The sequence below is a fragment of the Homo sapiens genome, chromosome 7, assembly GCF_000001405.40.
Source record: "Homo sapiens chromosome 7, GRCh38.p14 Primary Assembly".
Lineage (NCBI taxonomy): Eukaryota > Metazoa > Chordata > Mammalia > Primates > Hominidae > Homo > Homo sapiens.
Window position 1 is genome coordinate 56,279,704 of NC_000007.14, and position 14,714 is coordinate 56,294,417.

Consider the following 14,714-nt stretch of genomic DNA (forward strand, 5'->3'; position numbering starts at 1 on the left):
TCATTGCAACCTCCACCTCCCGGGTTCAAGCGATTCTCCTGTCTCAGCCTCCCGAGTAGCTGTGATTACAGGCACCTGCCACCTTGCCTGGCTAATTTTTTGTATTTTTAGTAGAGACTGGGCTTCAGCATGTTGGCCAGGCTGGTCTTGAACTCCTGACCTCAGGTGATGCACCCACCTTGGCCTCCCAAAGTGCTGGGATTACAGGTGTTAGCCACTGCACCTGGCCTGAGTTTTTATATATGGGAAAAACTGTTAGCACAAACTGTCATGGCTCCCTCCTGCTGCCTAAAAACATTCTCATGAGTCACTGAAGGGATAAAATATTCTAACACTTAGGCCATCTTAGTCTCAATCTCACAATGTCCCTGTTGTACTCTTATAATGCTACATAACACTGGAAATGTTCTGTTCAGAGTGTTACATTAAATACCCTGTCATTGACTTCTTTAAGAAATATAATACAGTTTTATAGCTAATGAAAGCATTGGTATGCAGAAAAACATACTGTAGCCATATATTTTCTTTCTCATACCCTCAAATTTCTGGAGAAACATAGTCTGCCTATTTAATAAGGAATGCAGAATTCTCCATTTGGTTGAAATAAGCCACTTTTTCATGTCAAGAGATTTTATAATTCCTGAGTGTCATGTACAAATGGCAGAGAGTTACTCCCACAGCTCCCCTGCCAAGCCCTCTCCTGTAGTAGATGAGACGTATCATTCCTTTTCTTATCTTGCATATAGGGTTGGCCACTGACAACTTATAATAGCTCCAGCTGACATGGGTTTCTCATATCTGGCCAGATATTTGTCCCTCTTTTCCTTTTTATATGTAGTGGTCTTAAGACATGTGTCCAAATTTGTTGACATTTCTACCCATCAAGTCTAATTCTCCTCCCCTGGAACATGAGCTGATCTTAAGGAATCACTTCTCAAAAATAAAAAATGGCAGAAGTGATGCATGACATTCAGAACTAAATCATAAAAGACAATACAGCATCAGCTTGGAATCATTTGTAACCCTTGCTTTCAGAACCCAGCCACCATGCTGGATCTCAGGCCATACAGAAAAAACTCATGTCAGTGATCCTGCCAAAGCATGGCTCAGACCCCAACTCACAACCAGCATCACCCATCAGGCATGGGAGTAAGGAAGCCTCAGCTACGGTTTGACTACAACTCCATGCAGACCCTGAGTGAAAACTGCCCAGCTGAACCCAGCAACATGAGAGATTATGAAACATAATCACTGCTGTTTTATGCCACAAAGTGTATGGTGGTTTGTGATACAGCTGCAGGAAATCATCACACTATCAAGATGCACTATTAAAGATACTTTAAGCACGTTTGTACTCTTTGAACACTGTTTCTGTTCTGGTCATACATCTTATGATATAGAACCCAAAATGTGGAAAACATTGTTTCATAGAGATTTTTAACAGTAAAATATTGGAAAAAAAAGTTTCTCTATATTTGGACTACAAACCCATTCCAAAGCCATATAATGAGCTATGATGATGCCATTAAAATATATGTATATGCTCTCGGATTTCTGGTCTGGACAAATGATATATTCATAGCTTTCTGTTCCTCCCCATTAAATACAACTGTAAACTCTGAAAATAATGTAACAGGCAACCAAAGAAAAACTCTGAAAGGTGGTAAGAGGAAAGCAAACTGATTTAGGATCCCAGCACTGAAGGTAAATCACAGTAGCAGAGTGTCTTATGTCCCCCAACCCAATACAAGGCAACTTAGACCTGCATTTCTCAACCTCCAACCAAACAACAGATGGCAGCCCAGGTAGACTGATTCTTCCCTGGGATTGAACTGAAGTCCTACGGGCCACACCAGGTGAGGATGGTATGACTGCAGAGGGGCTGATCAAGTGACCTACTAATAAATGGCCAAGGAAAGAACTGACTTTTCCCTTGGGCTAGAGACTCCCCTTCCCCATTGAAAGATATTGGGACAGAGAGGTGGCACTGGAAGGGACCCTTCATAATAAACAGCCCAGCTCAGGAAGCCTCTTTGCCTTCTGGACATGAGACTGTCCTTCACCACCTAGAGACGTTGGGGGACTGTGGGGAACCAGAAGGAGGAATCTAACCACAAGAAGTGCCTCTGGTCCGGGAAGCATTCTTGGACCCTCATGAGAAGGGGACATGCTACCAATGCAGTACTCAGCCAGGGAAGCTTCTTTATGACCAAGGCCTGAGACTCCTCTACCAAGAGACACTGAGTAGTCCATCCTGAGGAAGCCCTTTTCATCTCCTCAGGCAACACTAGCAAGAACAAAAGAGGGATCCCAGCAGCCCCAGATAAAACAAAAAGAATAAAATAACACTGCAAAAGCTCTAAAACTCAAACTGTCATTGGAACCACAGCCCACAAAAGTAAGCCAGGACCCACGTCTAAACCTAAATAAGGTGATATCCTGCTAAAATGAAAGATTAAAACAAGACCCCAGAGTCTTCCGGTATAATAGACAAACTGGCTAATATATTACAGAAAATCACTCATTACATTAAGAATCATTTAAAAAATGCAATTTGAATGAGAAAATACAATCAACTGATAACAATAGTGATGTGAATCCAATGTTGGAATTATCTGATAAGGATTCTACAGCTGTTGTCATAGAAATGCTTCAGTTACCAGTGACAACTTTTCTTGAAACAAATAAAGAAATATAAATTCTCAGCAAAGAAATGCAAGTTATGAAAAGGAATCTGTATTAGTTCATTTTCATACTACTATAAAGAAACGCCTGAGACTGGGTAATTTATAAAGGAAAGAGGTTGAATGGACTCACAGTTCCACATGGCTCTGGTGGGGGGCTTCACAATCATGGTGGAAGGCAAGGAGGAGAAAGGCATGTCTTACATGGCAGCAGGCAAGAGAGATCGTGCAGGGGAATTGCCCTTTATAAAATCATGAGCTCTTGTGAGACTTATTTACTATCACAAGAACAGCATGGGAAAAACCTGCCCCCATGATTCAATTTCTTCCCACTGGGTCCCTCCCGTGACACATGGGGATTATGGGAGCTACAATTCAAGATGAGATTTAAGTGGGGACACAGCAAAACTATATCAGAATCAAATGGTAATTATAGAACTTAAAAATACAACAGAAAATAATTTGCTCAGTGGGCTCAATAGAGGAGTTGGTAAATCATGTAAGGTTGCATAAAGCATAGAATCATTGGGTTTAAGGATAAGTGAATGAAATTTGTTCAGTTTGAATAATATACAGAAAATAGATTGAAAAAAAGTGAAAAGAGCCAGGGCCTCAGAGACCTGTGGAACACTAACACAAGATTTGTGACTCATACCATCAGAGTCTTAGAAAGAGAGGGAAAACACAGGAAGACTAAAGAAGCATTTGCAAAAACAATGAATAAAAACTTTCAAAATCTGGCACAAAGAAAAACTTACAGATTCATGGAAATGAGAAAACCCCAAACAGCATAAATACACACATACAAAAAATCATGCCAAGACACGTCATAATTAATCTCTGCAAACTAAAGACAAAATATCTTGAAAAAAGCCTGATAGAAACAACACATTACCTATAAGGGAATGCCAACTATAATAACTGAATTTCACATCAGAACCCCTGGAGGCCAGAAAAAAGTGGCAGAATATTTTTTGAGTGCTGAAAGAAAAGAAGTAACAGTCAAAAATTCTATATCCAGCAAAAGTATCCTTTGGCAAGGAAGGAGAAACAACATTCTCATAGTAAAGAAAACTTTTTAAAATAGTCCCTGACTTAAAGAACTGGTTAAAGAAGTTCTTCATACAAAAGAAAATGATAAAAGAAGAAATCTTAGAGCATCAGGATGGAAAAAAGAACAATGGAAAGAGCAAATCTGGGTACATACAACAGACTATTGTTTTCCTCATGAGTTTTGTAAGTCATATTTGATGACTGCAACAAAAATTATGAAAACATCTGATACTCAGGACTGACATGTTAAAAGGTAGAGAAGGTAAAGGGACCCAACTGGAAATGAGATTTTCATCCTTCACTCAAAGTAGTGAAATTCTGGTACCCTTAGACGATGATAAGTCACATTATATATATTTTAATTTCCATAGCAACCACTAAAAATACTATACACAGCTGAGTGCAGTGGCTCACACCTGTAATCCCAGCACTTTGGGAGGCCGAGGTGAGTGGAACATGAGGTCAGGAGATGGAGATCACCCTGGCCAACATGGTGAAACCCCGTCTCTACTGTAAATACAAAAATTAGCTGGATGTGGTGGTGTGTGCCTATAATCCCAGCTACTCGGGAGGCTGAGGCAGGAGAATCGCTTGAACCAGGGAGTTGGAGGTTGCAATGAGCTGAGCTTGCACCACTACACTCCAGCCTGGTGAGAGTGAGACTCCATCAAAACAAACAAACAAAAACACTATACAAAGAAATACAGTCAAAAACATTATAAATTAACTGAGATGGTATATTTAAAAAACATTCAAGTGGTCCTCAGGAAAGTAAGACACGAAAAGAAAAACAGAGGGGACAATCAGGGAAAAAAGATATATTTAAGCACTAATGAGTCAATAATTACTTTCACTGAAAGTGGTCTTAATATATCATCAACAAAAATGTAGACATTGGTAGGGTAGATAAAAACATTATGACACAACTATATGATGTTTACAAGAAACTCACATCAAATCCAGACATAGGTAGGTCAAAAGTAAAATGATGGAAAATATACATCAGGAATACTATAATAAAAGAAAATCAAGGGTGGCTATAATAATATCTGTTAAAGTAGACTCATAGCAAAGGAAATTACTACAAAGAGAGACATACCATTATTATATATGATAAACACATCAATTCTCCAGAAAGACCTACTGATCCCAAATGTGTATGGACCAAAGAACACAGCATCAAAATCCATGAAGCAAAAATCAATAGAGCGGTAAGGATAACTAGACAAATCCAAAATCAGGGTTCAAGAATTTAACAGTTCTCTCCCAACTACTAATATAACTACTAGGTAGAAACTGGTGAAGATACAGAAGATTGGAATCATATAATCAACCAACAGGTTCTAATTGACATACATAGAACACAGCAAACAACAGTAAAATAATACGCTATTTTTTCCCCAGTGCCCATGGAACATATTCTAAGATAGACTATATCCTGAACCACAAAATACACTTCAACAAATTTTTAAAAATTGAAATTATATACAGTGTGTGCTCTGGTCATGGATTCAAACTAGAAACCAATAAGACAAAAACAACAAAACTAAACTGGAAAAATTAAACGACACACTCCTATATAGTCCACTGGCCAAATAGGAAGCTTCAAAACAAGTAAAAATGCATACAAGCAAACAAGAATAAAACATAACAAAATATTGGGATGTAGCTAAAGACATTATGAGACGAAAATTTGTAAAACTAAATGCTTATATAAGGAAAAAGGAAAGATCTCAATAAGTAATCTAAGTTCCTATGCCTCAGGAAATCAAAAATATAAAAATAAATCTGGCGGCCGGGCGCGGTGGCTCACGTCTGTAATCCCAGCACTTTGGGAGGCCGAGGCGGGCGGATCACGAGGTCAGGAGATCGAGACCATCCTGGCTAACACGGTGAAACCCCGTCTCTACTAAAAATACAAAAAATTAGCCCGGTGCGGTGGCAGGCACCTGCAGTCCCAGCTACTCAGGAGGCTGAGGAAGGAGAATGGCGTGAACATGGGAGGCGGAGCTTGCAGTGAGCCGAGATAGCGCCACTGCAGTCTGGCCTGGGCTAAAGAGCGAGAGTCCGTCTCAAAATAAATAAATAAATAAATAAATCTGGCTGGGCGCGGTGGCTCACGCCTGTAATCCCAGCACTTTGGGAGGCTGAGGTGGGCGGATCATGAGGTCAAGAGATCGAGACCATCCTGGCCAACATGCTGAAGCCCCGTCTCTACTAAAAAAAAAATACAAAAAATCAGTTGGGCGTGGTGGCGTGCACCTGTAGTCCCAGCTACTCGGGAGGCTGAGGCAGGAGAATTGCTTGAACCCGGGAGGCAGAGGTTGCAGTGAGCCGAGATCATGCCACTGCACTCCAGCTTGGGCAACAGAGTGAGACTCCGTCTCAAAAAAAAAAAAATTTTTTTTTAAATAAATCTAAACCAAGCATAAGGAAGGAAATAATAAAAATTACACCAGGAATTAAATTAAGGAAAGAAAAACAATAGAGAAAAATCAATGAAATAAGAAGCTGGTTCTTCAAAATAGTACACTTGATAAACCTTTAGAAAACTGACAAAAATAGGCCGGGCGCGGTGGCTCACGCCTGTAATCCCAGCACTTTGGGAGGCCGAGGCGGGCGGATCACGAGGTCAGGAGATCGAGACCATCCCGGCTAAAACGGTGAAACCCCGTCTCTACTAAAAATACAAAAAATTAGCCGGGCGTAGTGGCGGGCGCCTGTAGTCCCAGCTACTTGGGAGGCTGAGGCAGGAGAATGGCGTGAACCCGGGAGGCGGAGCTTGCAGTGAGCCGAGATTGCGCCACTGCACTCCAGCCTGGGCGACAGAGCGAGACTCCGTCTCAAAAAAAAAAGAAAAAAAAAAAAAAAAAGAAAACTGACAAAAATAGATGACACAAATCATCAATATCAAAAATATAACACCTACATATAGGATATATTAATACTATATTCTGGGATATTGCTGCAGATTCTGTAGCCATTAAAACATTAAGAGAATACCAAAAATCACAACTTAGGAGAAATGGACCAATTCCTCAAAGCCACATACTGCCAAAACTCAACAAAAATGAAGTGGATCACCTGATCTGCCCCAAAATGATTCAAAAATTGAATTTGTAACTTAAAAGCCTCCCCAAATTAAACTACAATGAGATATTTCTACACACCTAGCAAAATAACCAAAACAAAAAATAGTAAGAACCCTAAATGCTAGTGAGGATATGCAGAAACTGAATCGCTCAGTCACTGTTGGCAGAAATGTAAAATGGCACAGTCACTCTGTAAAACAGTTTGGCAGTTTCTTATAAAGTTAAATACACAATGTTACACAATCCAGAAATTGTGTACTTGATCATTTATCTCAGAGAAATGGGAAACTTATGTTCACTTAAAATTCTGAAAACAGTAGCTTTATTAGTAGCAGTCTGAAATTGGAAAAAGCCCAGTGTATTTCACCTGGTGAATGATTAAACAAACTGTGGTAGATGCATACCATGGGTACTATGCAGCAATAAAAAGAGAATAAATTATTGATTTTTTAAATAAAAAAACTTGGATGAGTCTCCAGGGAATTTATCCTAAGTGAAAAAAGCCAGCCCCGAAGTGTTACATATTGCTATATGATTTTATTTATAGAATATTTTTGAAATAACAAAATTTTAGAAAAAACAAGATTACCAAAGGTTAGGGGTGGGAGCGAAAAGGAAGGTGGGTGCAGTTATGAAAGACTGACATGAGATGTCCTCCTGGCAATGGTGTTGTTCAATATCTTGATGGTGGTGGATAAAGAAAGCTTCAGATACGATATCTTTGTATAAAATTAAATGTACATGCACACGGACACAAATGAGTTATACATAAAATTGGGGAAACCTGAAAAAGATCAACTGCTTATATCAATGTCATCCTGTGTGTAATATTGTACTGTAGTTTTTCAAGATGTCACCATTGGGAAAACTGAATATAGAGTGCTCTAATTTTTCTTAGAACTGCACGTGAATCTGTAATTATATCAACAAAGGTTTTTGTTTGTTTGTTTGTTTTTGAGACAGAGTCTCGCTCTATCACCCAGGCTGGAGTGCAGTGGCACAGTCGCAGCTCACTGCAGCCTCTGCCTCCCCGGTTCCAGTGATTGTCCTGCCTCAGCCTCCCAGGTAGCTATGGTTACAGGCACACACCAACCACCATGCCCAGCTAATTTTGCTATTTTTAGTAAAGACAGGGTTTCACCATGTTGGCCAGGCTGGTCTCGAGCTCCTGACCTCAGGTGATCTGCCTGCCTCGGCCTCCCAAACTGCTAGGATTACAGGCGTAAGTAAAAAAAAAACAAAAACTTTTTTTTGGGCGCCGGCGCCCGCCCGCGCGGCACAGACGCGGGGAGCGCGCTTGGCGCTGACACAGCGGCGACGGCGGCGGCGTTAGCCGGCGCTCGAGCTGTTTCCCTTCCTGGGGCGCCGACCCCGCCCGCTTGCTTGCTTGCCTGCCTGCCTGCCTGCCTGGCGCCATGCAAGAGAAGGTGCCAGGGGACGCGGAGCGACGAGAGGCGCGCGGTCCCGGACAGCTCCGTCTCTGGCGTTGGCGCTGCAGCCGTGACGGAGGACTACGGCGACGACTAGGGCCGCTCTCCCAGCTCTCTGCGTGCCGCGCCGCTGCGCTCTGCCGTCTGACCATCTGGAGTGCAGGCTGGGAGGCGGGATGGAGTGATAGGGAAGATGTTTATAAATTCCTCTGTGGGATCAGAGGGCACGCCAATTGTAACCAGAAAACTCCAAGTATGGCAGCAAGGATGGGTGAACAGGCTGTATTAGGGCCAAAATCAAATGCTGATTCAGACTTTAGACAAAGGGCCCTGGCCTATTTTGAGCGGTTAAAGATTTCCCCAGATACCTGGCAGGTGTGTGCACAGAGGCTGTAGCCCAGAGGACATATAGTGATGAACATGTAAAGTTTTTCTGCTTTCAAGTGCTGGAACATTAAGTTAAATACAAATACTCAGAACTAACCACGGTTCAACAACAACTAATTAGGGAGACGCGCATATCATGGCTGCAAGCTCAGATGCTGAATCCCCAACCAGAGAAGACCTTTATACGAAATAAAGCCGCCCAAGTCTTCGCCTTGCTTTTTGTTACAGAATATCTCACTAAGTGGCCCAAGTATTTTTGTTTACATTCTCTCAGTAGTGGACCTAAATCCAAGGGGAGTAGATGTGTGCCTGCGAATCCTCATGGCTATCGATTCAGAGTTGGTGGATCGTGATGTGGTGCATACGTCAGAGGAGGCTCGTAGGAATACTCTCATTAAAGATACCATGAGGGAACAGTGCATTCCAAATCTGGTGGAATGATGGTACCAAATATTACAAAATTATCAGTATACTAATTCTGAAGTGACCGTCAGTGCTTTGAAGTAGTTGGGGCTTACGTCTCTTGGATAGACTTACCCCTTATAGCCAATGATAGGTTTATAAGTGTGCTGCTAGGTCATATGTCAATAGGAGTTCTACGGGAAGAAGCATGTGACTGTTTATTTGAAGTTGTAAATAAAGGAATGGACCCTGTCGATAAAATGAAACTAGTAGAATCTTTGTGCCAAGGATTACAGTCTGCTGGGTCTTTCAGCATTGACCAGGAAGAAGATGTTGACTTCCTGGCCAGATTTTCTAAGCTGGTAAATGGAATGGGACAGTAATTGATTGATAGTTGGAGTAAATTAATTAAGAATGCGGATATTAAGAATGCTCAAGAGGCACTACAAGCTATTGAAACAAAAGTGGCACTGATGTTGCAGCTACTAATTCATGAGGAAGATGATATTTCTCCTAATATTATAGGATTTTGTTATTATTATCTTCATATTTGGAAACAGCTTACAGTGCTCTTGGATCAGCAAAAAGCTAATGTAGAGGCAATCATGTTGGCCGTTATGAAAAAATTGACTTACGATGAAGAATATAACTTCGAAAATGAGGGTGAAGATGAAGCCATGTTTGTAGAATATAGAAAACAACTGAAGTTACTGTTGGACAGGCTTGCTCAAGTTTCACCAGAGTTACTGGTGGCCTCTGTTCACAGCGTTTTTAGTTCTACACTGCAGGATTGGCAGACTACATGGTTTATGGAAGTTGAAGTAGCAATAAGATTGCTGTATATGGCCGGGCGCGGTGGCTCATGCCTGTAATCCCAGCACTTTGGGAGCCCGAGGCAGGCGGATCACGAGGTCAGGAGATGGAGACCATCCTGGCTAACACGGTGAAACCCTGTCTCTACTAAAAAAATACAAAAAATTAGCCGGGCGTGGTAGCGAGTGCCTGTAGTCCCAGCTACTCCGTAGACTGAGGCAGAGGAAAGGCGTGAACCCGGGAGGTGGAGCTTGCAGTGAGCCGAGATCGCGCCACTGCACTCAGACAGAGCGAGACTCCATCTCAAAAAAAAAAAAAAAAAAAAAAAAAAATTGCTGTATATGTTGGCAGAAGCTCTTCTAGTATCTCACGGTGTTCCATTTGCAGGTGATGTTTCAAAAGCCAGTGCTTTGCAGGATATGATGAGAATTCTGGTAACATCAAGAGTCAGTTCCTATCAGCATACATCTGTGACGTTGGAGTTCTTCAAAAATGTTGTTAGATATGAAAAGTTTTTCACAGTTGAACCTCAGCACATTCCACGTGTACTAATGGCTTTCTTAGATCACAGAAGTCTGCGGCATTCCAGTGCAAAAGTTCGGAGCAGGATGGCTTACCTGTTTTCTAGATTTGTCAAATCTCTCAATAAGCAAATGAATCCTCTCACTGAGGATATTTTGAATAGAATACAAGATTTATTAGAGCTTTCTCCACCTGAGAATGGCCACCAGTCTTTACTGGGCAGCGATGATCAACTTTTTATTTATGAGACAGCTGGAGTGCTGACTGTTAATAGTGAATACCTGGCAGAAAGGAAACAAGCCTTGGTGAGGAATCTGTTGACTCCACTAATGGAGAAGTTTAAAATTCTGTTAGAATAGTTGATGCTGGCACAAGATGAAGATAGGCAAGCCTCTCTAGCAGACTGTCTCAACCATGCTGTTGGATTTGCAAGTCCAACCAGTAAAGCTTTCAGCAACAAGCAGACTATAAAACAATGTGGCTGTTCTGAAGTTTGTCTGGACTGTTTACAGACATTCCTGCCAGCCCTCAGTTGTCCCTTACAAAAGGATATTCTCAGAAGTGGAGTCCGTACTTTCCTTCATCGAATGGTTATTTGCCTGGGGGAAGAAGTTTTTCCGTTCATCCCAGCTGCTTCAGAACGTATGCTCAAAGATTGTGAAGCAGAAGACCTCCAGGAGTTCATTCTTCTTATCAACCAGATTACGGCCAAATTCAAGAGACAGGTATCTCCGTTTTTACAACAGATGTTCATGCCCCTGCTTCATGCAATTTTTGAAGTGCTGCTCCAGCCAGCGGAAGAAAATGACTAGTCTGCTGCTTTAGAGAAGCAGATGTTGTGGAGGAGTTACTTTGCTTTCCTGCAAACAGTCACAGGCAGTGGGATGAGTGAAGTTATAGCAAATCAAGCTGCACAAAATGTAGAGTGCTGGTTACTGTTACCCAAGGAGCAGTTGAATATCCAGATCCAATTGCACAGAAAACATGTTTTATCATCCTCTCAAAGTTGGTGGAACTCTGGAGAGGTAAAGATGGACCAGTGGGATTTGCTGATTTTGTTTATAAGCACATTGTCCCCTCATGTTTCCTAGCACCTTTAAAACAAACCTTTGACCTGGCAGATGCACAAACAGTATTGGCTTTATCTGAGTGTGCAGTGACACTGAAAACAATTCATCTCAAATGGGGCCCAGAATGTGTTCAGTATCTTCAACAAGAATACCTGCCCTCCTTGCAAGTAGCTCCAGAAATAATTCAGGAGTTTTGTCAAGCGCTTCAGCAGCCTGATGCTAAAGTTTTAAAAAATTACTTAAAGGTGTTCTTCCAGAGAGCAAAGCCCTATTGACTGGATTTCCCTGTGCCTACTTCATGATCAGGAATTCCAGTTAATTTATAAAGAAGCGATTTGTGTGTGCCATTCACACTGGTCTTTTTCACATTGTTTTGAGCTTATTGCAGTATATGTTTTGGGATTTTTATGTGAAATGGGTGTAATTTTCCTAATACAGGTATGTAACAACAAAAGATGTTGCCTGCATGCCGGTCCAAATTGTTCTGTATAAAGATGCTCTTAAAAGACACAGAGTTATCCTAGAACCTTAATTCTTTTTTATTTGAAGTTTTAAGTCAAGTCCTTTATAAAGACTATAGCAGTAGAAAACAGTACACTTTTTAAAAAATTGCTGAATATAAAATGTTTGAAAATTTTCTTTATGTGTGAAGACACATAAAGTATGGGGGGAATACAACAATCAAAACTAACTTTTTGTAGATAGCCATTTCATTTCTTTAAACTGTTTCAATGCCAATATGTATTCTACAAAAGAGAATGGTTTTAGGCTCCAGTGTTATACTTTTTAAAATATATATATATAAATAAATTTTACATAGTGAAATCTAAAAAAAACAAAAACTAAAACAAAAAACAAAACTTTTTTTTTTTTTTGAGAGGGAGTCTCATTCTGTCGCCCAGGCTGGAGTGCAATGGTGCCATCTTGGCTCACTGCAACCTCCACCTCCTGGGTTCAAGTGATTCTCCTGACTCAGCCTCCCAAGTAGCTGGGACTACAGGCGCGTGCCACCACGCCCGGCTAATTTTTTGTATTTTCAGTAGAGACGGGGTTTCACCATATTAGCCAGGCTGGTCTGGACCTCCTGACCTCACAATCCACCCACGTTGGCCTCCCAAAGTGCTGGGATTACAGGCGTCAGCCACCGCACCTGGCCAAAAAAACTTAACTAAACATTATGTTTATAAAGTGGTTGTGATAGTATGAGATAAATTGTTTGTTAAATAGCCGTAAGCTTAAAAAGCTAAAATATTCATGAAATTTACCTACAGCATTATTATACTTACATTAAACGGATTCAAATAAAACAAAATAAAAAGGGTATAAAATGTAAAATTAGGCAGGGCACAGTGGCTCACTCCTGTAATCCCAGCACTTTGGGAGGCTGAGGCAGGTGGATCACCTGAGGTCAAGAGTTCAAGACTACCTTGGCCAACATGCTGAAACCCTGTCTCTACTAAAAATACAAAAAATTAGCTGGGCATGGTGGCAGGTGCCTATAATCCCAGCTACTTGGGAGGCTGAGGCAGGAGAACCGCTTGAACCCAGGAGGCGGACGTTGTTGCAGTGAGCCGAGATTGTGCCATTGCACTCCAGCCTAGGCAACAAGAGCGAAACTCCATCTCAAACAACAACAACAACAACAACAACAAAAAACAACAACAACAACAACAACAAACATAAAATTAAAGGAATAGGCCGGGCGCGGTGGCTCAAGCCTGTAATCCCAGCACTTTGGGAGGCTGAGGCAGGTGGATCACGAGGTCAGGAGTTCCAGACCAGCCTGGCCAAGATGGTGAAACCCTGTCTCTACTAAAAATACAAAAAATTGCCGGGTACAGTGGCAGGTGCCTGTAATCCCAGCTACTCCAGAGGCTGAGGCAGGAGAATAGCTTGAACCCTGGGGGCAGAGGTTGCAGTGAGCTGAGATTGGGCCACTGCACTCCAGCCTGGGCAACAGAGCGAGACTCCATCTCCAAAAAAAAAAAAAAATTAAAGAAGAATGGAAAAGTCAAAAGGAGGTGAAATACACTATGTTAAAACTTTTATTTTTATAATGAGCATATCAGACTTTCATAATAGGAAAAACTCAATTTGATTAAAATATATACTTTTATTCATTCTTATCCTTTCTGGGTTCCTGGAACTTGTAGCATTATCAGAATCACCTACTTTTCTCTTGCTTAAGGCTGCTTATATGGCTTCCTTGTAGATTTCTTCCCCATTCCTCTGTTAATGTACTTTGGGCTTGTCTTGAAATTATCCATCTGTGAAGACACAGAATTTCAGATTCGCTTGCTTACGCACAGACATCGCCACAGGAGGGAGGGTTCTCTATGGAGACGCTGAAAGCAAGTGGAGATGCTAGAGGAGTTTGGAGAAGATTGTTTTTTACATGGACAGTTTTGGGTGCAATTAAGTTGTACTCAAAACCAGATAGACTAGAAAATATTGGGGAGGTAAATGTGGTTCCATCCTTCATACAAAGAATAGTGTTTCATGTCTGGATAAAAGAAAACCATCAGTGAATTGCAAAATCATTAGAGGCAGAAGGCACCTGAGAGGCAGGTCACCATGTGGAACAATTCCAGGTGGCTCCATTCACATTTAGCCTATGTATGTGGTGGCTCCTGGGATTGGGCAATATGCACCTTATACAACTGTATGCAGGGATTCTGCTGAACCCAGCCATTACCACACTTGCCCTTCCTCACACACAGATTTAGGATCCTTTTACAGAGGAGGAAAGTAAGGCCTAGAGGAGGAAAGCAAGTTGTTCAAAGCCACACAGCTAACCACAGAACCAGACTAACATCCAGATTCTTGAATTTCAGAACAATATTCTTTCCTCTCTACAATGATGACTGGAAAGGATATTGTCACTCAAAACAGCCACCTCCACCACAGCAACAAGTTCATTCTTAAAAGTATTTGTTTCAGATCCACATGACGTAGGCTAAACCAGGGCTGTTTTTATAGCATCCCAAATTCTAAATGGAGTGAAAATTCTAACCACACTTTTCTCACATATGAATTGACAACAATAATAGTACCTACCTCTTAGGGTTCTTCTGGAGACAGATGAATTAATATTTGTAGAACACTTAGAAAGTACTATATGACAGGTGTTCTCATATAGAAACCTGGTATTGGATATTATTGTTATTATTTCTATTAGCATGTATTTCTCCCCCATTGATATGTGGGTTCTTCAAAGACCACATATGTTTTATCTGTGGTTCCATAGGACCCGGCGTGGCT

At 41.3% G+C, this 14,714-nt stretch overlaps 1 pseudogene; it reads left to right on the forward strand.

Moving 5' to 3' along the window:
• Positions 8,084 to 12,281, forward strand: XPOTP2 (XPOT pseudogene 2; annotated as a pseudogene).